At 36.9% G+C, this 26466-nt stretch overlaps 1 pseudogene, besides 1 other annotated feature; it reads left to right on the plus strand.

Moving 5' to 3' along the window:
* Positions 1-5786: 5786 nt before the first annotated feature.
* Positions 5787-26466, plus strand: part of LOC100996886 (complement factor H-related protein 3-like) — a 34873-nt pseudogene continuing 14193 nt past the window's right edge.
* Positions 13905-15104: an enhancer, noted in NCBI's record as "CDK7 strongly-dependent group 2 enhancer chr1:196827453-196828652 (GRCh37/hg19 assembly coordinates)". NCBI's record gives its function as "activates an origin of replication core promoter dependent on BRD2, BRD4, P300/CBP, MED14 and CDK7 cofactors, with strong dependence on CDK7, by STARR-seq in HCT116 cells {active_cell/tissue: HCT116}" and the evidence as "EXISTENCE:reporter gene assay evidence [ECO:0000049][PMID:35650434]".

Here is a 26466-nt window from a genome sequence, read left to right on the forward strand (position 1 = left end):
CTATTACTGTGAAGAATGTCCCTGGTATTTTCATAGTGATTTCTTGAATCTGTAGATTGCCTTGGGTAGTATGGACATTATAACAATATTGATCCTTCCAGTCCATGATCATGAAATATCTTTTTTTTTTTGGTGTCCTCTTCTACTTCTATTTTTAGTGTTTTACTCTTTTTCTTATAGAGATCTTTGACTTCTTTGGTTAATATCTAATTATTTATTTTTATCTGTGGTTACTGTAAATGGGATTACCTTTAGGATTTTTTTCAGATTGTTTGCTGTCAACATATACAAGTGCTACTGGTTTTTTATGTTGATATTATATCTTGCACCCTTACTGGACTTATCAGTTCTAATAGTTTTCTGGTGATTACCTTACGTTTATCGAAAAAAACTTATACCATCTGCAAACAAAGATAATTTGGCTTCTTTCGTTTCAATTTGGATACCTTTATATCCCTCTCTTGTCTAACTGCTGTAGCCAGGACTTCCAGTATTATGTTGAATAACAGTGGTGAAGTGGGTATCCTTGTCATGTTCCAGTACTTTGAGGAAATTATTTCAGACTTTCTCCATTCAGTATGATAGTAGCTGTGTGTCTGTCAAATGCAGCTTTGATTATGTTTGGGTGTGTTCCTTCTATCTTCAGTTTTCTTTAGTGTTTTATCATGAAGGATTTTGAATTTTATCAAATGCCTTTTTGGAATCAATTGAAATAATCATGTGGTTTATATCCTTCATTGTGTTGGTATGATGTATTACATTGATTGAGTTGTGTATGTTGAGCCATCTTTGCATCTCAAGGATAAATCCCATTTGGTCATGTTGAATGATCTTTCTAGTATGCTGTTAAATTTGTTGCTATTCTTTTGTTGAGAATTTTTACAATTACATTTGTCAGAGATATTGACCTGTAGTATTCTTTTTTTAATGTGTCTTTGTCTGATTTTCTTTTCAGGGTAATATTAGCCTCACATTGGAAGTATTTGCTCCTCCTCCTCCTCTATTTTTCAAAATAGTTAGAGTAGAATTGGTACTAGTTCTTCTTTAAACGTTAGGGAGAATTCAACAGTGAAGCCAATATGTCCTGAGCTTTTCTTTACTATGAAACTTTTTATTCTGGCTTTGATCTCATTACTTGAATTAATAATTGATCTGTTCAGGTTTTGGATTTCTTTCTGCTTCAATCTTAGTAGGTTTTATGTGTCTAGGAATTTGTCCATTTCTTCTAGATTTTCCAATTTATTGGAATATCATTCCACATAGTGGCTAATAATGATTCTTTGAATTTCTCCAGGATCAGATGTAATGTTTCCTTTTCATTTCTGATTTTATTTATTTGAATTCTCACTCTTTTTCTCTTAGTCTGGATAAAGGTTGATCAGCATGTTTAGTATTTTAAAATAAGAACTTATGTTTCATTGATCTTTGTATTTTATTCATTTCAATTTCAAGTTTATCTGCTGTGATATTTATTATTTATTTTCTTCTAATAATTTTGGATTTGGATTGCCCTTCCTTTTCTAGTTCATTAACATAAATCACCAAATTGTTTATTTGAAGTTTTTCCTTTCTTTTTTATGTAGTCACTTATAGCTATAAATTTTTCTCTTGGTACTAAAACTGCTATATCCCATAGGTTTTGTGTTTCCATTATCATTTGTTTCACAAAATATTTTAATTTCTTCATTGATCCACAGTGCATTCAGGGGCATATTCTTTAATTTCCAGATTCTTTAATTTTTTGTTTCAACTTACCATATGGATTGCAAATACTATCTTAAAACCAGAAAACATAACACTGTTTGCATAAACAAACAAGCCAAAGTAAACTCATAAATACTTTCCACCTTAATTTTCCCTTCTGCTTTCAAACTTTTTGTTGTTTCTATTTTTATCTTATTTTACAGACTATGTCTTGAAAATCTGTAGTTATTATGTTTCATTAGTTCATTATTTAGTCTTTCTACTTAGGATATTAGCTTACACAACCCAGTTGCAGTGTTTTAATATTCTGTATTTTTCTATGTACTTACTATTACCAGTGAGATTTGTGTCTTCAGGTGATTATTTATTGTTCATGAATTTCGTTTTTTGATTGAAATATTCCCTTTAGCATTTCTTGTAGGACAGGTCTGGCATAATAAAATTCCTCACCTTTTCCTTATCTGAGAATGTCTTTATTTCTTCTTTATGTTTAAGGGATATTTTCACCAGATATTCTACTCTAGGATAAACGTCATTTTTCTGTCAGCATGTGTCATATCACTCCTGTAAGGATTCCTCTAAAAAGCCTGCTACCAGATGTATTGGTGCTCCGTTGTATGTTATTTATTTCTTTGTTCTTACTGATTTTAGAATAGTCTCTTTATCCTTGACCTTAGAGAATTTGATTATTAAATGAGTTGAGGTAGTCTTCTTTGGGTTAAATCTGCTTGGCATTCTATAACCTTCTTGTACTTGATATAGATCTCATTCTCTAGGTTTGGGAAGTTCTTTGTGATTATCCATTTGAATAAACTTTCTACTCCTATCTCGTTCTCTACTTCTTCCTTAAGGTGAATACTCTCAGATTTGCTTTTTGGAGGTTATTTTTTAGATCCTGTAGGCATACTTCATTGTTTTTAATTCTTTATTTTTTTGTCTCCTCTGACTGTGTATTTTCACATAGCTTGTCTTCAAGCTCAACAATTCTTTCTTCTGCTTGATCTATTCTGCTATTAAAGAATAGCACATGTAATATCTTCTTCAGTATGTCAATTGCATGTTTCGGCTCCAGAATCTCTGCTTGATTTTTTAAAATTATTTCAATCTCTTTGTTCAATTTATCTGATAGAGTTCAGAATTCCTTCTCTGTGTTATCTTGATTTTCTTTGAGTTTCTTCAACAAAACTATTTTGAATTCGTTGTTTGAAAGGTGACATAACTCAGTTTCTCTAGGATTGTTCCCTGGTGCTTTGTTTAGTTCATTTGGTGAGGTCGGGTTTTCCTGGATGGCGTTAATGCTAGCAGATATTCTTCTGTGTCTGGGCACTGAAGAGTTAGGTATTTATTGTTTTCTTCACTGTCTGGGCTTAATTGTAACCATCCTTCTTGGCAAGATGTTCCACATGTTTGAAAGGACTTGGGTGTTGTGACCTAAGCTGTAACTTCTTTACAGGGTGTCAAAATCCCAGCAATGCAGTGGTTCTTGCAGACTTCTAGGGGTACTGTATTGATGGTCTTGCACATGATCTGAGAGAATTCAGGGTGATGAGGGCCCCTGGACCAGGGTGGTTTCCAGGGGACCAGTTTCAAAAACCTTAGATGTCTGCTTGATGTTATATGGTACTGTATCTGGGCTGGCAGTCATATTGCAAGTTAAAATGTTGTGGGGTGGGGTGGGGGGATGGGGGAGGGATAGCATTTGGAGATATACCTAATGTTAAATGACGAGTTACTGGGTTCAGCACACCAACATGGCACATGTATACATAGGTAACTAACCTGCACGTTGTGCACATGTACCCTAAACCTTAAAGTATAATAATAAAAAAAAATCCTCCTCACTGTTCCCTCCCCTTTCCAAAGTCAGAGGAGCCTCACCCTATGGTCTAACACCACTCCAGGCCATGAGGAGTACTGCCAGACAACTGCTGATGTTCCCTTAAGGTTTAGGTGCTCCTAAGTCAGTTTGTGGTGAATGCTGGCTAGCCTAGGATTCACCCTTCTGGGAACTGGGCTCCCATCTGGTCCACGGTATGTCCAAAAATGCCACCCACCAGTCAAGTCCAGGAACTGGGGACCCTGGGAGCCCAGGTGGTTCTCTACCCACTGTGGCCATGCTGGTACCTGAAGCCAGCAAGTCTCAGAGGCTCACCTAAGGCCCTCAACATAGTATCTGGGTATCACTGCAGGTTATTGAGGGCCAAGGGCTCTTCAGTTAGGCTGGGTGAATGCTGCCAGGACTGCATCATTTCCTTCAGGGCATTGGGTTCCCTTTTGGTTCAGGGTATGTCAAGAAATGTCATCTGGGAGCTAGGGCTTAAAGCAGGGGCCTCATTCCTTTGACAGTTGCCCTATCCTGCTTTGTCTGAGCTGATATCCAAGATGTAAGACAAAGTCTTCCCCGTTCTTCCCTCTCCTCTCCTCAAGCAGAAGGAAGGGGTTTCTTTTGGAGCTGTGAAATGTGAAGCCTGGGGTTAGGGGTTGGGTGATGCCAGCACGCTCTTGGCTGCCTCAGCTGGTGCAGTTGGTGTCTCTGAATATTCTGTGTCTTCCCCCAGTCCATAGTCTCTGAGCCTAGTTCAGCACTAGGACTCACATACGTGTGCAGTCCTTATGTCCTAGACTGTCTTTCTAGTTTATTTAGAGACACAATGCATGGTAGGTAGCCCTAGGTGGCAAGATTTGTGGGAACTTGATTTCAGACCCCTGCGGTCAGCAATACCATCATGGCTAGCATTGGTTTAAGTACTCCCTCCATGGGAAGGGGTTAGCTGAGTTTGGTTTGGTTTTCCTTTCTGCTCTAACAGCACAGCATTTTGTTCAATGCCTCACAATTGCTATGTTCTCCCTCCCTCAGTGCCTAGAGCAAGGCTCTGTACACCATGGCACAGCTGCAAGTGTGGGGAGAGGGGAAAGGGTAGTGTCAGTGATTCAAGATTGTCTGACCTATCTCTTACGTGCCACTTTCAGGGATATGAAGTTAAAACCATGTACTATGAGTGCTAATCTGATAATGTTTTCATTTTATGAAGGTGTTTTTTTTTTTTTTTTCTGTGTACATAGTTGTTAACTTAGTATCTTTGAAGGGGAATGGTTGGTGTCTCCTATTCCACCATCTGGCTCTGCTCTGCCTAATTTGTGGAAACTCTTTATCATGAAGAAATGTCAAAGTTTCTCAAATGTTTTTAGTACTTCTATGAAAATGATCATATAGTTTTGTTCATTCTGTTATTGTGATATGTTACATCTATTGGTTTGTGTATGTCTACCCATCTTTATTTTATGCATAGTTTGAAAAACAGTACTACCAGTTTTTTATACTGTTTGGTTGAATTCAGCAGTGAAGATAACAGGCGTTGGGCTTTTTTGATAGGTGAATTTTATTACTGATTTAATCAACTTACTCATTATTTGTTTGTTTTGATTTTCTATTTATTCCTAATACGATCTGTATTAGGAATTTTTATTTTAATTTGTATTTGTATTTTACAAGCTATTTTATTTTTAGCTTGTATTTGTATTTGTAGCTGTATTTGTATTTTAGCTTGCTTCTCCCTTAGATTCCCCCATGAGATGTACCTAAAGAAAACTTGGACCAAGTGAAAGACAAGGCATTATCTGGTAGCAGCTGCTGGTAGCAGCTGAGATCACCAACAGTAGCTTTCCTTGCTTCTGGAAGTTTTCCTAAAAAACATCCACTGCAGTACAATGGATAATTAGTGGGGCATCACTAAGATTCCTGAACTTCGGAATTTTCTGGAAATAGCATTTTTGACCTTTGTTCCCTCAGTTCTTCCAATAGTTGTGGAAGCCTTTCGTTCCCTTTATTGATACTCTCTTTACTCAAAAAATGAGAAATAAAATAAATTAATGTTTTATATTACTTTTGGATTCAGTCCATTACTGTCCCTAAATAATATTTTACAAGTACATTTCAGGGAATCAATTCCACAGATGGTTGTGAAACCACTAACTGGAATTATTGAAGCATTTTGCAAAACTCTCTGAACTTTGATATTTACTAAGTGACCTTAAAGGCCTAGCTTCGTGGTAGTTTCCTCAAATTCGGAATCACCCTTGGTAACTAACAATGAAAGATTTCAAACTCCAAACAGTACAACTGAAACTTTTGCATTACTATACTACTGAGAATATCTAACATGTTGTTACTAATTAATGTCATTCTCACCTTGTGGGTTTCCTATGCTAATGGACAAGGTAAATTGAAAGAGATCTAAACACTCAGCTCCCATCTTAAATGTAACTTCATGTAATATCTAGCTTCCTATGTCTCCATGTCTACAATTTTTTATGAACCAAAGAGGATTTATTCATTATGCTAGTAGAAATAGCATATTTTGTAAGACTATAACAGAAATTAATTTTATGAAATATTATCTCATTTTAACTTAAACAATGAATAATATTCTCTTTGTTTCATAAGTTCTACAGTGTAAAAGACATTTAATATTGATTATGGAGATATGTGAATATACTCATGAAACTTTAAGTAGGAAACATGTCACTAGACAGATTCTAACCTTAAAATGTTCAGAAGTTTCTTATTTGTAATGCAAGGGGAGTGACTGATATTTTCATAATCTTACAGATGGTGATTTTTTATAGATTCATATACCAAAACATCAAATAATACATTTTAAATTCTGCAGTTTCTTTTATTTCTATAATACCTTAAGAAAGCTGCTAAAATGAATTAACATTAATATGAACTTAATATTTCAACAAGATTAGCAACATGTAAATCACAACATGTAAATCACAACATGAATATAATCAAAAAGTAGACTATATGCTTAACTTACTTTTAAATGACAGTAAATTTTGCATTTCTGAGCTCACTAGCAAATGTTCAATAAATAAATACATAAATAATTATTTTTTATAGCTTTATGTTATTGTTCACTGATTTGTTTTCTCCTCAACAGTCATATATTTTCTATATTAACTATCTTTTTGAATGCAGGCCTTGCATATTAAAGAACTATATCGTAACATTAGCAGTGGAACCACATGAGTCAAAAATCATGGACAATCAAGGGTTTGTGGCCATTAATGAAGAATATAAATTTTGTAATTATCCGAAACTTCATAATATTTCAACAAATGTAGTGGAGGGTAATACTGGAAATCCAATTATCAATTTATGAGAGTATCTTTTCCCTCAGCCTCTCTTCTCAAAGCTATGCCACTTTATTTGATTCTAGGTAAAGAGCTTTAGGTTTTACAGTATTATCTATCACGATTTGCTAGTTTTATTTGTTGTGCAAAATCAAACTTGATCTGTGCCAAAATGGAAAGAAAAGGAAATTCTCCTGTTATTTCCTTTGTTAACTGAACTGATACAGGTACATTTTTTTCAAATAAAGATTAAATAGATTAAAATAGAATGAAAAGAAGAAAAGTAGTACCATTTTGAAATGACTGGAATTAGAGAAGCATATGCACTATACTTTCTTACTTACTTTCTTAAAAGCACTATAAAAAAAGAATGATGACAAATTCTTCCTTATCTGATATTCCAGTTGAAAACTTTTCTCCTCCAATGAACTTTTTGTAAGAGTAAACTTGAGCAAAATGTCTTGTAAATTTAGGTCGCACCTATATTTCTCAAAGGAGAAAGTAACTCATTGGGTTACCTTCAACGTCTTGGTTAGAGAGAAACATCTTTGTGTATTCAGTAGCATTGGCTCAACTGCATCCCGCCAAAATTCATTTGTTAAAGTCCAAATTCCCAATACCTGAGAATGTGACTGCATTTGGAGAAGGAGTGCTTAAAGATGTAATTAAGTTAAAGGTCAATGGTTCAGGTGGGTCCTACTCCAATATAACTGGTGTCTATATAAGAAGAGAAAATAAGAACACACCATATAGAGAAAGATCACGCAAGGCATAGAAAGGATACAACCATTTACAAGGCAAAGGAAGAGGTCTCAGAAGAATCCAATCCTGTTGACAGCTCTATCTCAAACTATTAGCCTCCAGAACTGTGAGAAAATAAATTTCTATGAAATCAGTGGTACTTTGTTATGGTAGCTCTAGCAGATGAATACCATGATATTTACACAATTTATTAAAAGAACATTAATAACTAAAAATAACTTTTTACTTTTTACTCAAGAGTATATATATATATATGTAGCCACCACACAGATTTTAGAGGCTATTCATCAGAATTTGGTAATTATATCTTGGGTGTATTTTCCTGCTGATTTTTGTCTTGTTGAATACTTTATGTGTATATATATCTGTATTCATCTATATTCAGAATCTAGTAAATCAAATCTAAGAAAGATTTTTCATATCATTAATGAAGGACATACTTTGTGAATTGCTTATGCTAATAAAATTTTTTTAATGGTAGTTGATATTTCAGTTCTGAACATTAAAATCGGCACACCAATTCTTTTGGAAACCACACTATTTGAAAGACAAACTCGACAGAAAATTTGTAATTGTAACCTATTATAATGTTCATTGAATTTGTATTGGCCATTATTTCTTCCATTAAGTCATAAGTTATTTATACTTATTTAAAGATAGGTTGTCAAGAGCATTATTTTTAATTATGAATATCCTTTCAGAATTGTATAAACTTTATATTCATCTACTAGAGTTGCCATAACAAAGTGTCAAGGGTGACAATTAGTAATGTAGAGCAGGGTTGCTTCTAAATCCCTTTTAAACTGATCATTTTCAGTACCCAATGCATTACAGTTAATTGCCATTGTACTTCTTTGGGATGCTCAAATTTGTTTCAAATCTCACTAAGAAGCTGGCTTTTGTGTATATTTCATGTGCCCCCATTAAGCTTTGGCATAACAAAAGGTCCCATGCTTTCCTTGACTTTTGCTACTACAGACTAACTTTCAATAATTTCTGTATGAAATTCCAGTGCCTTTTAGTGGGAAAAACGATTTTTAGAAACAAACCTAAACTATGAAAAACTCACTTCAGGTTTGAAATTATCGTTGACTAAGAAAAATAATATTTGGCCGAGTGGGGTGGCTCACACCTTCATCCCAGCACTTTGGAGGGCCAAGGCGCGCAGATCACTTGAGACCGGGAGTTGGAGACCAACCTGGCCAACATGATGAAATGCTTTCTCTACTAAAAATTCAAAAAATTAGCAGGATGTAGTGGCACACACCTGTAATTCCAGCTTCTCAGGAGACTGAGGCAGGAGTATCATTTGAACCCAGGAAGCAGAGGTTGAAGTGAGCTGAGATCGCGCCACTGCACTCTAGCCTTGGCAACAGAGCAAGACTGTTAAAAATAAAAATAAAGAAAGATTTAAATGATTTCCTTTAATTAATGTCCCTTTCTTCCTCGGACTAAATATCCTGCAATCATAAGAAAATGTAAAAGTATCTCAGGAGGTTACACAGGGCACGGAAGTTTCGATTTTCCAATACGGAGGAGACAGCAGAAAACTGTGCAGCCATGCTTGAGGGGCTGGGTCAGACAAGCTGTCATGCGTCACCTAACAAGCCTCTAGGGCCAGTTCTGTAACTAGCAAACGCTTCCCTCAAAGTAAAGATGTCACGTCTATGAACTTAGTCTTCTCATCTGCACACTAAAGCTGTTGTGCCACTAGCTTCCTTCCCGTTCTCTCTGATTTATGATGATTCAAACTTAAAGATTTTTCTTTAGTTATATTCTTAAGTTCTCATAACAAATAGAATGTAAATACTATTTTCTATCACTTGTTCCATAATTATAGAAGAAACATAAATTATATGCTATTTAAATTGTGGTGTTGTTCAACATTCTATAGGTATACATACCTATAGAATATAAGAATATATATATATTTGTACATTCGTCTATGCACCTATTTTTTATGTCAATAATATGTCTCATCTGATACATGAATTCTAACTATGGTAAGAATGCATGCCATCGCATACAAACAAAATGCCACAAAACTAAACAAAATGTTTTATATCTGGAGATAATTTGCTACATTTCAGATTTTTTTATGCTACAGTCATATTTCTTGTCTCTCTTTTCCAAAACACAATCATTGCTGATGTGTGCACCCTAAACTGACAGCTTGAGCTTAACTTGGTATAGTTGTAGATAAGTTCAGTTTAAATTAATGCTGATAAAACCTCCAGAATTGCTGAAGAGACCATACTATGTTAGTAGAAGTAGAGAAAGTGAAATGAGCTTCTTGTCCTGTTAGCTGACTTGAGTTCCATTAAAGATTTTAAGTGGAGAAATAAAATGACCAGATGAAAGGTCATTAATTTATACACAGGAAAATAGATTATAAAGATGAGAGGTCAGGATCAGGAAACTAGTTACGGTTGCTGTAATCTCAGAAGAATTTGGTTGAGAGACGATGATATCAAAGGTTATTGCCAGGGTTTTTTTATGCCTGTTGTGTTTATTTGTTTGTTTGTTTTGACAGAAAAAAATTGAGTGAAAGGGAATACCACAATTGCAGAAGTTCAGTTATTATTGAGAGAGGTAATGAGAATGATTGACATGAATTTCCCCCAAAAAATGTTCTGTCAATAATTACTATATTACGAATAAATAGAGCATGGAATATTTTTACAGCTGACTCAGAGAAAATAGCTATTACAGCAAACCTATGTCTATATTGAAATTCATATATACATTCAAAGAATATTACTCTATACCATTTATCTCAAGAGAACTAATCTTCAAAGCAAAAGAAATCAGCAACATGTTTTTAATTAAAATTTTAACTTCCTTCAAAAATGTCTTTTGGGCCAGGCGCGGTGGCTCACGCCTGTAATCCCGACACTTTGGGAGGCTGAGGAGGGCGGATCACGAGGTCAGGAGATTGAGACGATCCTGGCTAACACGGTGAAACCCCGTCTCTACTAAAAAATATACAAAAAAAATTAGCTGGGCATGGTGGCGGGTGCCTGTAGTCCCAGCTACTCGGGAGGCTAAGGCTGGAGCATTGCGTGAATCCAGGAGGCAGAGCTTGCAGTGAGCGGAGATCGAGCCACTGCACTCCAGCCTGGGCAACTGAGCAAGACTCTGTCTCAAAAAAAAAAAAAAAAAAAAGTCTTTTTTATTTATCTGTTAAGAACAGATAAATCATTCATGCGGCATTCAAGTCAAAAAAGAATTTTTTGTTGTTGGCAGATTTACCTAGTGGAAACAACATTTGTATTTAGCTTCTAAAGTAAATTAAGTGGAGGAAAATGAAGATTTTCATTAATAACCTTAATATTAATAGACAATGGTGGTACTGAGGAGAACATCTATCTCTTTTAGGCTTCATGAGGAAATGATGTTTTTCAGTGTCGACAAATTAATTTCAGCTGTGTGGTTTGCCCACCAAATATCATGCCTGTAATAATATACTGTACTTAGCCTACCATATTTTAAAATGATTGGTTTCCAACTATCAAGGCATAGAAGAGAATATATAGATAGTTGAAGAGTTAAAGAAATTATAGCATAAGAAGCATGCAAAAAGATACAGTTATAGCATTATAATGACTGTCTTGAGATATTTGAAAACATTTATGAAGGGGAGCAAGTTAACTTTTGATGAGGACTGTCACAGTCAGTGAAGCAGGTAACAGTATTATCCAACATCGAATCAGAGGTCAAGTGATTTTCTAAAAGTGTGACCTATACGGATATTGCCATATGTCGGGGGTGGGGGTAGAAGAGTTGATCTCTTCTGAGCCCTCCACGTTTTAAGTTGTATGATTCAAAATTATACATACAAACCTTGTTTTTATTACACTCTATTTTAAAAACTGCAGTTATCTTTTGAGTTGATTTTATAATTTATTTTTGTTTTAATTGCTAATGAGCTCAGAAGCAGTTCCTTGGAAAATATATTTCACTACACAATTCAGATATCTTCACTTGTAAGCACTGTTAAGAAAAATATGTTAGACAGAAGTTAATGAGGTTAAAGAGTCACCACTTTCTTTCTCCAGGCTGCGTAGATGACATCTATGAAATGCGTTTGCCTTGCAGTTCCCTGTCAAATTTCTTCTATGTGGAGCCGCCTCCCTCAGCTCAAAACACACATTTCAGCTCTCCTGCTCTCTCCTACAGGAACACTGCTGTTCTGTGTAAAGAGGAGGTAGGGCCTTGTCTTTCACGCAAGCCTGGCTCAATTGGGCACCTCACCACTGGGGTTGCAGCCACCGCTAATCCCCCTAGAATGTCTGTCCTCTGGTGTGTCTGCACCAGTCTCCTTTGCGAGTGACCACAGCTATGTCCACAGAATTGGGTGCAGGGGAGATGTCCCCCTCTCTACATCTGTGCCCAAGCACTGGGGCCACCTGTCTCCTAGGATGGATCTATACTCCCTTGCAAGGCAAGCACGGTGCCTGTGTGCCTGCTGAAAGTGGTCTAGTCACTTTCAGCCCACAAGCAGGTTTCTCTTGCACACAGGAAAGTGGAATGAACAAAATTAGGAATCAACAAAAAAAGTTTATCATAATCTTAACTATTTGGATATTAAGAAATATTCCTAGTCTATTTCTGCGGTTTAATAAACACTGGAAATCTTGGCTCAGTGACTTGTTTGAGGCGTGAATTAGCTGTGTTATTTTTCTGTGCGGTATTATCAAAGAAAAATTTTTGTGTTCCTCAATATGTTTATATTGTCCAGTAATTAGAAAAGAGCCTAGTGAATTTATTTGTTTTCTATTTTTATTTTTATTTTTTGAGATGGAGCCTCACTCTGTCACCCAGACTGGAGTGGAATGGCGCAATCTCAATTCACTGCAAACTCTGCCTCCTGGGTTCAAGCGATTCTCCTGCCTCTGCCTCCTAAGTAGCTGGAATTACAAGGGCGCACCACCAGGCCCAGCTAATTTTTTTTGTATTTTTAGTAGAAACGGGTTTCATCATGTTGGCCAGGCTGGTCTCGAAGTCCTGACCTCAAGTGATCTGCCTGCCTCAACCTCCCAAAGAGCTGGGATTATAGGCATGAGCCACCGTGCGCAGCCCATGAATTTAATCCAAAACAATAAAAACCTTAAATCCCTCAAAATACTACCTCCTTACATTGAATTTTTCTGAGAAGAAAATACAGGGCTCTGTTTACTGATGACAGTAGAAAAGAAAAAAAAAAGGAATACCTGAGCTAAGTGATAAAATTGACATATTTCTCAACCAAAAAGCTCATTTAATTAGCCAGAGGTAGGGTATATGTACTCAAGGGGAATACATTAAATAGGTTTGTACATTTTTCCTTCTAGAGAGCCTTCCTACAAATTTATGCATCACGTGATCCACAAGACATAATCTCATCTTCATTAGCAAAGACCTTCTCGTCACATATCTTAGTCATCTGAGTTCTATCATTTGTTTTGACCTAGAAACCCTAATGGAATGTGTAATTATTCTAAGAAGAGAATATAATTCAGTGATAAAAAAATTTATCTCTAATATGATTATTTATTACAGTAAAAAGTATTCATACTTTTTTTTGTTTTTTATTGCAAGTGAAATCTTGTGATTTTCCAGACATTAAACATGGAGGTCTATATTATGAAAGTATGTGTAGACCATACTTTCCAGTAGCTGTAGGAAAATCTTACTCCTATTACTGTGATGAATCTTTTGAGACTCCTTCAGGAAGTTACTAGGATTACATTTATTGCACACAAGATGGGTGGTCGCCAGCAGTACCATGTCTCAGTAAGTAAACCTCTGGACAGCCATATATGTATAAAACTTTCAAAGATTGAAGAGAGGAGAGCACATAAGTGATTACACTTGACTTATATAACAGAAATAGGGCCAAGAAAAGAGTTGTTCAAGCAAAATGACCAAAATAGATCTTTTCTATTATGAGTTCTTAAAAATCACGAGAAATAAATATAGAGACTTTATGAGAATATCTATATAATTGATACATATTTTAATTATAAAAACTTAAGTAGTATTAAATATTGATATTTCTTTTTGTACAAACCTTTGTTAGTAATTTTAGTTCATATTCAGTTATACATTGTTTTTGGATGTTTATGCAATCTTATTTAAATATTTTAAAAATAATTGTAATATACTATTTTGAGCACATTTTTGTGTCTCATTTACTTTATTCATTTATCATTGTTATCGTCCTTAGGAAAACGTTATTTTCCTTATTTGGAAAATGGACATAATGAAAATTACGGAAGAAAGTTTGTACAGGGTAACTCTGTAGAAGTTGCCTTCCTTCCTGGCTGTGGTCTTCCAAATGAGCAGACCACAGTTACATGTATGGAGAATGGCTGGTCTCCTCCTTGCAGATGCATCCGTGTCACTAAGTACACTACTCTGAGATCCCAGCAAGTTCATGTCTTTCTAAGTAACACAGATGACATGCTAAGACTCATCTATATTAACTGCGGCAAAATATTTATGTCAACTTGCTTCGCCATCGGACCTATTTAGTTTTATTTTTTCAATTCTGTATAAACAAATATACACATTTCTTGATAAGTTCATAGTAAAATAAATGCTCCTATTATTGGGCATTAGTCAAGAATACAGTAAAAGAGTTTGAAAACAATACTTGTTGGTTAAATTAAGACATATTGAAATGGCATCATTGTCTGGAGTAAATACCCGAGGTTTCTCATCTGGCACTGAGAAGATTAAGGACATGGACACACACAAGGAGTGGGCGTAGGATCGCAGGTTTAATAGGCAAAAGAAAGAGAAAGGAGAACAGCTCTGTCTCTTGTGAGAGAGAGGGGCACCCAAAAGTGAATTCTGGCCCCGGCTGGGGTGCACTGGATTTTATAAACAGGCTTGAGGAAGCAGTGTCTGATTTACATAGGGCCCAAAGATTGATTGGACCAGGTGTGATATTTACATAATGTGCTAGGAAGCTGGCTGCCCCACCCTAATCTTATTATGCAAATGGGATCTTTGCCTGGCCAGCGCCATGTTGCCTTTTCCTTACTGTACACGTGGCTGGCAAAGAGAAGGGAAGATGGAGTTGCCATATGAACATGCCTAGTCCCAGGTAGCCTTTTCCTATTGGCACAACTGCTGCCATTCACCTTGCAAGCTTCCAACTTGCTTGTCTATGTTTACATCTCTGTTTTACAGGTTCCACTTTGTTAGAAAAAGAAATGATTTGGGGGCTCCTATTATTAAAAGGAAAACTTTACCAAGGACTCCTGTACCCTCATTATCTGCCTAAATAATTTCTTCTTAACTCGTGTATCAATATTAATATGTACTTTGGAATCAATCATTTGACTCAAAATGATTATACATTTATAGTTTAAAATAGAAAGTGAGTACAATGATAGCCAATAATGTCATTCATACATTCAAACAGTCATAGGTCACTTTTACAATAAAGTTATCTAACTTTCTCTATTATATGTAAGTACAAATGGATTTTCTGGGATATTGTGCATATTCGACTCTAGAAGGTTTCCTATATTATTTATCCCAATATACATTTATATCAACAGTTCCTTCTTAGGTGTTTTACATGTTAATGATTGGTGATGTCACATTTTAATATTTACAAATTGAGTGGCTATAAAATGTTTTACCATTGTAGTGTAAATTTGCATTTCCTTTATTACTAATTGGGTTTGGAATATATATTCACAGTTTAATTGGTATTTGATTGTTCTAATCTTTGAAAATGCAGGTTTTTTGACTTACCTTTTTGGGAGTTTTGGTATTTATTAGTTGGAGTCATCTTACTAATTCTGAATATAAAATCTCTTTTAATTATATGTAATCCAAATGCATTCTTTTTTGTGGCTAGTATTTTTCTTCCCTTTTTTGTGTATTATGAATATAAGTTGCTCGTTTTACTAAATAATCATCAATCTTTTCTTATGATGAATATTTTTTGTTTCTATTTAAAGGAATACTTCAAAAACACAGAGCCATTATACTATTTTTATTGTAAAAATTTACATGCTACCTTTTTTCATATTTTAAAATTGTGTGTTGATTTTATTCATGATAATAGCTATATTTTATTTTTAAATAAAATATGGCAAACTCAACATTTCCCTAACAATTTTTATAGTACCTTTCTCATACAGTATATGCTATATTGTATATTTTGTCCCCTCCCCTCCCCTCCCATCTTCTTTTTCTCTTTCACAGTGTGTCCCCTCCCCTCCCCTTCCCTCTTCTTTTTCTTTCTTTCTTTCTTTCTTTCTTTCTTTCTTTCTTTCTTTCTTTCTTTCTTTCTCTTTCTTTCTTTCTTTCTTTCTTTCCTTCCTTCCTTCCTTTCTTTCCTTCCTTCTTTCCTTCCTTCTCTCTTTCTTTCCTTCTTTTTCTTTCTTTCTTTCTCTTCCTCTCTCTTTTTTTTTCTTTCTTCCTTTTTGTTCTCTTTTTTCTCTTCCTTTCTTTCCTTTCTTTCTCTTTCTTTTGTTTTTTCTCTTTCTTTCTTTCTGCTGTTAAGAGTGAACTACTTTTTTCCCCTTTCCTTTCCTTTCCGTTCTTTTCTTTCTTTCTCTTTCTTCTTTCTTTCTTTCTTTTTTTCCTTTCTTTCCTTCTTTCTTTCTTTCTTTCTCCTTCCTTCCTTTCTTTTTTCTTTCTTCTGGCTAATAATATGCTTTGATTGAATATGCAATTTCTCCTGGTATCAAACAACTCAATCAAGGTTTATGCCTCTTGTTTTGGATTTGGAGTTGTTTGAAGAATCAACTACTTATTTTCTTTCTTTCTTTTTCTTTCTTTCTTTCTTTCTTTTCCTTTCTTTCCTTTCTTTTCTTTCTTTCTGTCTTTCTTTCTGTCTTTCCTTCCTTCCTTCATTCCTTTCTTTCTTTTTTTTCTTTTCTTTCCATTTTCTTCCTTTCTTCCTTCCTTTCCTTTCTTTATTTCTTTCACTATCCCAAGTGTGCCTGGCTCAAGTTATTCTTGAGAATGTTACTGTTTTACTCTTCATGCTAGACCCTGTACTTTAGTCAAGTTATTTAGCTACTTTATGGTGGTCATATAATTAACAAGTCTTAGCTTCATCTTCAGATTGCGATATCAACATTGTATTTTCAATGTACAGTCAATTGTCAGTGAATCACAGTACTTTTCAATTTAACAAAATCTAAATTCCTCATAACCATGTTGTGAAAATAAGCAGAAAAATTTAAATATACTTGTGCGAGTACAGTAGACAGATATTGGAGTGTGTCCTGCATGAGTGCAAACTGGCTGTGGTTTCCTTTAAAATAGTCACTTAAAGAAAACATTTGCCAAATACATCACAGAATATCAATTTTTCTGGACTTGTAAAACTTGAAATACTGGTGCCTTCTGAATGATTCTTCTGAAGTTAGAGTAGTCTGTCCTTATCTGTGGGAGACAAAAGCTGCATTAGTCCCTCTTATCCACGTGGGGTATGTTCCAAGCCCCCCAGCAGATGCCTGAAATAGTTAATACTATAAAACCCAAGTAAGCTACATTTTTCCATCTGATAACTGTGAAGACTACTAAGTGACTAACAGGCGGGAAGTATAAAATGTGTCTACACTAGACAAAGGGAGGATTCATGCCCTGGGCAGGATAGAGTTGAATGGCAAAGGATTTCATCACACTACCTAGAATATTTTTTTTTATTGCTAAGTATTATTCCATTGTATCATAGGTCACAGACTGTTAATCCATTCACTTGTTGAAAGGCATTTGCATAGTTTTTGGCATTTGTGAATCATGCTGGTAAGAAAAATATTCACCTACAGTTTTTATATAAACACAAATTTATTCCTCATGGCTTCATATCTAGGAGTGGCTTTGTTGGATAAATGGCATGTCTCTGTGTGTGCTTTTTTTATTACTATACTTTAAGTTCTGGTTTATATGTGCAGAATCTGCAGATTTGTTACATAGGTATATATACATGTGCCATAGTGGTTTGCTGCACCCATCAACCCATAATCTAGGTTGTAAGCTCCACATGCATTAGCTATTTGTCCTAATGTTATCTCTCCCCTTGCCTCCCATGTCCCAACAGGCCCCAGTGTGTGATGTTCCTCTCCCTGTGTCCATGTGTTCTCATTGTTCAACTCCCCCTTATGAGTGAGAACATGCAGCATTTGGCTTTCTGTTCCTGTGTTAGTGTGCTGAAGATGATGGTTTCCAGCTTCATCCATGCCCTGCAAGGGACGTGAACTCATTCTTTTTTATGGCTGCATGGTATTCTATGGTGTATATTTGCCACATTTTCTTTATCCAGTCTATCATTGATGGGCATTTAGGTTGGTTCCAAGTCTTTGCTGTTGTAAATAGTGCTGCAATAAACATGCGTGCATGTATCTTTATAGTAGAATGATTTATAACACTTTGTGTATATATTCAGTAATGGGATTGGTGGGTCAAATGGTATTTCTGGTTCTGGATGCTTGAGGAATTGCCACTCTGTCTTCCACAATGGTTGAACTAATTTGCACTCCCACAGACAGTGTAAAAGTATTCCTATCTCTCCACACCCTCGACAGCATGTGTTGTTTACAGACGTTTTTACAATCACCATTCTAACTAGTGTGAGATGGTATCTCATTGTGGTTTTGATTTGCATTTCTCTAATGACCAGTGATGATGAGCTCTTTTTCATGTATTTGTTGGCTGCATAAATGTCTTCTTTTGAGAACTATCTGTTCATATCCTTGACTACTTTTTGATGGGGTTGTTTTTTTCTTATAAATCTGTTTAAGGTCCTTGTAGATTCTGGATATTAGCCCTTTGTCAGATGGATAGATTGCAAAAATTTTCTCCCATCCTGTAGATTGCCTGTTCACTCTGATGATGGTTTTTTGTTTTTTTCTTTTTGTGCTGTGCAGAAGTTCTTTAGTTTAATTAGATCCTATTTGTCAATTTTGGCTTGTGCAGCAATTGCTTTTGGTGTTTTAGTCATGAAGTCTTTGCCTGTGCCTATGTCCTGAATGGTACTGCCTAGGTTTTCTTCTAGGGGTTTTATGGTTTTAGGTCTTAAAACCACCTTGTGTTAATTTTTGTATTAGGTGTAAGGAAGGGGCCCAGTTTCAATTTTCTGCATATGGCTAGCCAATTTTCCTAACACCATTTATCCAACAGGGAATCCTTTCAACATGGCTTGTTTTTGTCAGGTTTGTCAAAGTTCAGATCGTTGTAGATGTGTGGTGTTATTTCTGAGGCCTCTGTTCTGTTCCATTGGTCTATATATTTGTTTTGGTACCAGTACCATGTTGTTTTAGTTACTGTAGCCTTGTAGTATAGTTTGAAGCCAGGTAGCATGATGTTTTCAGCTTTGTGCTTTTTGCTTAGGATTGTCTTGGCTATATGGGATCTTTTTTGGTTCCATATGAAATTTAAAGTAGTTCCTTCTAGTTCTGTGAAGAAAGTTAATGATACCTTGATGGGAATAGCTTTGAATCTATAAATTACTTTGGGCAGTATAGCCATTTTCACGATATTGATTTTTGCTATCCATGAGGATGGAATGTTTTCTCATTTGTTTGTGTCCTCTCTAATTTCCTTGATCAGTGGTTTGTAGTCCCCCTTGAAGAGGTCCTTCACATCCTGTGTAAGTTGTATTCCTTGGTATTTTATTTTCTTTGTAACAATTGTGAATGGAAATTCACTCATGATTTGACTCTCTGTTTGTCTATTATTGGTGTATAGGAATGCTCGTGATTTTTGCACGTTGATTTTGTATCCTGAGACTTTGCTGAAGTTGCTTAAGAACTTAAGGAATTTTTGGGCTGAGACGATCGGGTTTTCTAAATGTAGAATCATGTCATCTGCAAACAGAGACAATTTGACTTCCTTTCTTCCTATTTGAATACGTTTTATTTCTTTCTTTTGCCTGATTGCCCAGGCCAGAATTTCCAATACTATATCAATACTAGACAGATCGGCAAGACAGAAAATTATCAAGGATATTCAGGACTTGAACTCAGCTTTGGACCAGGTGGACCTAATAGACATCTAGAGAACTCTCCACCCCAAATCAACAGAATATACATTCTTCTCAGCACTACATAGCACTTATTCTAAAATCAACCTCCTAATTGGAAGTAAAAAACTCCTCAGCAAATGCAAAAGAAAGGAAATCATAACAAACCTTCTCTCAGACCACAGTGCAATAAAATTAGAACACAGGATTAAGAAACTTACTCAAAACCACACAACTACATGGAAACTGAACAACCTGCTCCTGAATAACTACTGGGTAAATAACAAAATTAAGGCAGAAGTAAATAAGTTCCTTGAAACCAGTGAGAAGGAAGACACAACATACCTGAATCTCTGGGACACAGCAAAAGCAGTGTTTAGAGAGCAATTTACAGCACTAAATGCCACATCAGAAAGTTGGAACGTTCGAAAATCGACCCCTAACATCACAATTAAAAGAACTAGAGAAGCAAGAGCAAACAAATTCAAAAGCTAGCAGAAGATAAGAAGTAACTAAGAACAGTGCAGACCTGAAGGAGATAGAGACACAAAAAACCCTTCAAAAATCAATGCATCCAGGAGCTGGTTTTTTGAAGATTAACACAATAGATAGACCACTAGCCATACCAAAAAAGAAAAAAAGAGAGAAGAATCAAATAGACACAATAAAAAATGATAAAGAGGATATCACCACTGATTCCACAGAAATACAAACTACCATCAGAGAATATTATAAACACCTCTACACAAATAAACTAGAAAATCTGGAAGAAATGGATAAGTTCCTGGACACATACACCCTCCCAAGACTAAACCAGGAGGAAGTCGAATCCTTGAATAGCCCAACAACAAGTTCTAAATCTGAAGCAGTAATTAATAGCCTACCAACCGAAAATAGCCCAGGTCCAGATGGATTCACAGACAAATTCTATCGGAGGTACAAAGAGGAGCTGGTACCATTCCTTCTGAAACTAATCCAAACAATAGAAAAAGAAGGATTCCTCCTTATTTTATGAGGCCACCATCATCCTGATACCAAAACCTGACAGAGACACAACAGAAAAAGAAACTTTTAGGCCAATATCCCTGATGAACATCGATGCGAAAATCCTCAATAAAATACTGGCAAACTGAATCCAGCAGCACATCAAAAAGCTTGTCCACCACGATCATCCTTGGGATGCAAACTGGCTTTATCCCTGGGATGCAAACTGGTTCAACATGCAAATCAATAAATGTAATCCACCGCATAAATCAAACCCATGACAAAACCACATGATTATCTCAATAGATACAGAAAAGGCTTTCGATAAAATTCAACACCACTTCATGCTAAAAACACTCAATAAACTAGGTATGGATGAAACATATCTCAAAATAGTAAGAGCTATTTATGACAAACCCATAGCCAATATCATACTGAATGTGTGTGTTTATTTTTATAAGAAATAGACAAACTGTTTTCCTGAGTGATCATATATTCTACCTTCACATACTCAGTGTATGCGAGTTCCAATTGTTCTACAACCTCACCAGCCTTTGAGATAGTGGTTGTTTTTCCATTAAGTTATCCATTCTAATATGCGTGTAATGGTATCACATTCCCTAGTGACTAATGCTGCTGAGCATTTTCTTTGTACTTATTTACCATCTATGTACCTCCTTTAGTGAGGTACCTCCTTTAGTCCAAATTTTTTGCCCATTTTTCATTGGGTTGTTTGATTCTTTACTGAATTTTGAGACAACTTAATATATTGTGGCTACAAGTCCTTCACTGAGTAAATATTTTAGAAATATTTTTCTTGCATCTCTAGCTTTACTTTTATTTCTCTTAGCAGTCTCTTTCAATGAGCAAATGCATTTAATTTTGATGTTATCCAGTATATCAAATATTTCATTTATGGATTATGCTCTTTGTACCATCTAAAATTTCCTTGGCCTAAACCAAGGCCATGTACAGTTCTAGAAGTTAACATTTTACACATAGTTATATGATCGTTTTGAGTTAATTTTTGTATGAGGTATGAGAAATATGTTGAGGGTTTTTATTTTGCATTTGGATGCCTTACTATTCCAGTATCCCTTGTTTAAAGGATTGTGTTTTCTTTATTGAATTGCCTTTGCTCCACTATTAAATTGGAAACATCTTCAAGAAAATCTTGTAAAAACAGTTAAAGAGGAAAAAGTGAAATTCAATTAGGCTTGTTGGACAATCCATGGTAGTCATTAGGCTAGCTTTCCCACTGGCCCATTTCCTTATAGCTTGTCACTGATTACTAGTACAGGATAACATAATCTTTGTCACTAGAATCTTTGTTCCTTTTCTGTTCTTTAGATAAAATGTAAGACACTACGCGATGACAATCTTGCCATTTGAGTTTCTCCTTTAGGTTCTGCATACTAACAAAACTACTGATGCCAGCCATTCTGAAAGTCTTGGCAAGAAACTCACTTAGGGAGGACTGTAGTTTCCATATCCTGATGATTTCAGTCCCTGACCTGAATCAATTGATGACCTCAATTTCCAGCCCCTCACCCTTCAAAGACTCTTGCCCAGAAACCCTTAATGAAATGGGTTTGAGTTTTGAGAATTCTTCCCAAGTCCTTGCTTGGTGACCTTGCAATTAGTAAGTTCTTTCTCTGTTGCAAACCCCACAGTCTCGGTGTATTGTTCTGTAGCTGTGCAGCCGGCATAGAAACCTGACAGTCTTGTAAAAATTCATGGCAAGTGGCCAGGTATGGTGGCTCACACCTATAATCCCAGCACTGTGGAAGGCCAAGGCGGGCAGATCACTTGAGGTCAGGAATTCAAGACCAGCCTGGCTAACATGGTGAAACCCTGTCTCTACTAGAAATACAAAAATGTATCTAGGCATGATGGCATATGCCTGTAATCCCAGCTTCTCAGGAGGCTGAGGCTGGAGAATTACTTGAACCTGGGAGGCGGAGGTTGCAGTGAGTTGAGATCGTGCCACTGCACTCCAGCCAGGGAGACAGAGTGAGACTCCGGCTCAAAAAATAAATAAATAAATAAAAATCATGGCAAGTCACTCTCCTTGTGGTTATTTATCTACAGTCCAGTGCCCCCCATGCCACTGGGGCTGACCCACAGACAAGCCCAGGCAGCTGCTTAGCTATGATGAACTAAGGGCCTTTGCTGGGGCCTTCTGTGTTGGCAGGGCAGTGCTGACTTTCAGCACATAAACTTGTCTGCAGCAGAGAAACCATTTGTGGTCTCAGAAGAAGTCTCAGGTGAGTTTTCTCAGAGCAGCTGGCACCCCATTTCCTTCTGTTTTTTTTTTGTTGTTGTTGTTGTTTGTTTTTGTTTTTTCATCTTAGAGGCCTTGTGACCTATTTTGAGGTCTTGTTGATCCTCCCTAAGTCATAGGTAGGGCCTTATTTGAGGAGACCTCCCCTCAGATGGAAGGAGACTAGAGGGCATTGCTTGGGAGAAATGCTCTTGGATTTTGGAATCTGAAACTTTATATTTAAAGGTCTTTTGTTTGTGTTTGTCTTGTTATAGGTATTTATGTTTGTGGAGGTGTTCTCTGAAGAAATTACTAGTGGAAGAAATTACTAACTCAGGAAACTCTTCTTGTTTGTCTGGTCATTTATATTCACTTAGTCCTGAAGGAGTTGCTAGTGGAATCTCAGCAAGTCTAACTCAGGGTAACCGTCTGCTCTTCAATCCTTCCCAGAGTCCACCCACTGAACTCCTGACTGAAGGTCATCCCTCTCCAACTTGAGTAGATCAAATATGATGAGGGCTAATGGAACCAAGTTTGAGCCTTGCCAGGTCAATACTTGGGTTCTGAGTACGGTGACTAGTATCTGTGTTTGGTTACATGTATATAATTCCAGCCAGAATGTGAAATGTTAATTCAGTTCCTCCCTGCAGCCCAGTGAGGGCTGGTGGCTTTGAGATTATTACTCTTTCTCTGCTGCAAATCCCACTGTCTCAGTGTATTGTTCTGTTGCTGTGCTGCAGGCATACAAATCTGACAGTCTTGTAACTATTTGTGGCAAGCCAGGTCGAGGTTACTCTCCTTGAGGGCATTTACTCACAGCCTAGTGCCCCCTTGCCACTGGAGCAGACCCAGAGACAAGCACTAGCAGCTGCTTAGTAGTTCTGATGAACTAATGGCTGTCCTTTAGTTCTCCCCATGTAACCCACACTGTAATTTTGATGGGCTGCATCTTCCAAAATTGAAAAGCCTTTGTCTATCATTCCATAAAGCAAAACAAGATTATCTTATTTTTTAACATGGCTTGACCTCAATACCCATGGGGTTTGGGAGAACAGTGGCCACTGCATGGTTCTCATACTTACAGTACCATCCTGTAGCTAGATTTGTTATGTATGAAGGAAGAGAAATGGGATAAAATCCCTTATGTATAATGTTTTATGTTGCTTTGGTAAAGTAGATCAATGTAGAAAAAACGGAAAAATTATGAATTAGCAAGAAATTAAAACCTGTTTGGATTGATTTACAAGAGAAAGAACTTATGGAGGAGCTGCAGTAGCACTACTGGCACCTAAGCCAGAGTCCCCACCACCAAAAAGTCACAAACCCAGAGCAACAGGAATTTTTTTTTTTTTTTATGGAGTCTTGCTCTGTCGCCCAGGCTGGAGTGCAGTGGCACGATCTTGCTCACTACAACCTCAACTGCCTGTGTTCAAGAGATTCTCCTACCTCAGCTTCCTGAGCAGCTGGGACTACAGACACGTGCCACCAAGCCCAGCTCATTTTTGTATTTTTAGTAGAGATGGGGTTTCACCATACTGGCGAGCCTGGTCTCGAACTCCTGACCTCAGGTGAACCACCCCCCCCCTTGGCCTCCCAAAGTGCTGGGATTACAAGCGTGAGCCACCGTGCCCGGCCTTTATCTCTGCTTCTTCTACCCAACAGGTGACTCCTTTTAGCTAGGGTATCACTTATACCTAACAGGGGACTCAATTTAGCCAGGATTTCACTCTGGCTCTGAAAGGCAGTTTCCCCTATAACAACTACCTATAGGAGGTGATGCTGCCACAGCCCAGCCTATAGGATTTATGTGGGTTTATTCTCTGTTCTCCACTACCCACCTATTTAATTAGAAAAATAATATGCCTATTTATTGAGAAGATCTAAAGTTTATGGAAGAAAAAGGATAAAAAAAAAATCCAAAGCATATGGAGAATCTATTCTCCTCTGTATTTGCCACCCACAATCCTACCTGAGCAGATACCTAAAATTTGCTCAATATTTTGTTGAGTTCAGAGAAGCAAAGAATGGTTTTAGAAAAAGCTAAGGAAAAGGCTGATCTTATTCACACTGACTCTCCCAGTAATCCAGTAAGGGCAGCTGCTCAGATTGCAGTTCCCACCTCTGTCCTGGGATGGAATATAAACACTGGAGATAGATCTAACCTCGAACACTATCAAAACTGCATTTTGGCCAGCCTCTGCAAGGGAGTGCCCAAGGAAAGCGGCCTCAGTAAGGTCCAGGAGATCAAGCAGAAGCCTAATGAGTGTGCCTTTGGAATTTTTAGAACAAGTCTTTGAAGCTTTCAGACAATAAATGGATATTGACTCAGAAGCCTCAGAAAATTTAAAGTTAGCTAATACGATGTTTATCCAACAAAGTGCCCCAGCTATGCAGGGAAAGTTACAAAATGTAGATGAGGCTTTGGACATGTTTATGTCTCAATTAGTGAAGATTGTTTTTAATGTATTTACTGATCACAATTTTAAAAAGTGAAAAATAAAAACACAAGGAATAATGAAGAGAAAAGCTGACTTGTTAGCTGTGGCTCTGACCCTAGTAGTCCCTGGACCACAACAAGGGCCCTCATCAGATGCTCCATCTAAGGTAGGACCACCTGGGCCCCCAAAAGCCAAAAAAAAGGGACATCCCATTGCAGGTCCCAAGCAGTGTGCTTACTGCAACAGGGGGGACACTGAAAGGAAAATTGCCCATGCCTTACAAAGCCTGATGTTAAACACAGTCAGTCTTCTGCCCACCAAATGCCTGGGATAGCTGGGGAGCTTGAGAGAGATACTGAAGAAAAAGACCAGAAATGATGGCACCCAGGGGCTTATCCTGACTCAAACAACACCCTCCATATTTCCCACATGGGGCTTGAGATCCTGATGATGGTGAGAAATCAGCTTCTGGACTTCCTAGTAGACATGGTGCCACCTATTTGGTGTTAAATATCTGGTTGTCTAAACTTTCCTCAGAAACTATGAAGGTGACTGAAATCTCAGGAAAAATACTGATGAGATCATTCCTCCCAATTTTGGATTCTCAGCTAGAGTAAGGTAATTTAAAGCAGTTTTTCTATACATGTGTGAATGTCCCATCCCTTTGTTGGGGCAAGTCCTCTTAACCAAACTAAATGTTAAGATTACTTTTTCTCTGAGATGATTGGACATCCAGGTGCCTTCAGACCAAGCATGTGCTCTGCAGGCCACATTATTACAACTGGAAGTCCTTGAAAGTGCCCTCATCCCTGAAGAGATACTCCAAAATGTTAGTCCGGGAGCATGGGAAATGGAAGGCCAGGGAAAACAAAAACTGCATCTCCAGTACAAGTCAAGTTTTGTGCAGGAGTAGCGCTGCCAAATCTAAAACAGTATCCTTTGAGAGAAAAGGCACAGCAATGCATTTAGCCTCTGCTAATGGCCTTCCTGCAATACAGGAAGACTTCATCATTCCCCATGTAATGTCCTAAAGACACAGTCCTGGGTCAATTGAAGGGTGGCATGCCTGCCATACTGTGTGGTATCATGTACGTGTTTGATGATATCTGTCGTGAGATACTTGGGTACCAGAACCTTTTCTTCTGTGTTACATATCTACTCAGGAATATTGATTCATACAGGATTTGAGGGCTACTAGC

Source organism: Homo sapiens, chromosome 1 (assembly GCF_000001405.40).
Source record: "Homo sapiens chromosome 1, GRCh38.p14 Primary Assembly".
Classification (NCBI taxonomy): Eukaryota; Metazoa; Chordata; class Mammalia; order Primates; family Hominidae; genus Homo; species Homo sapiens.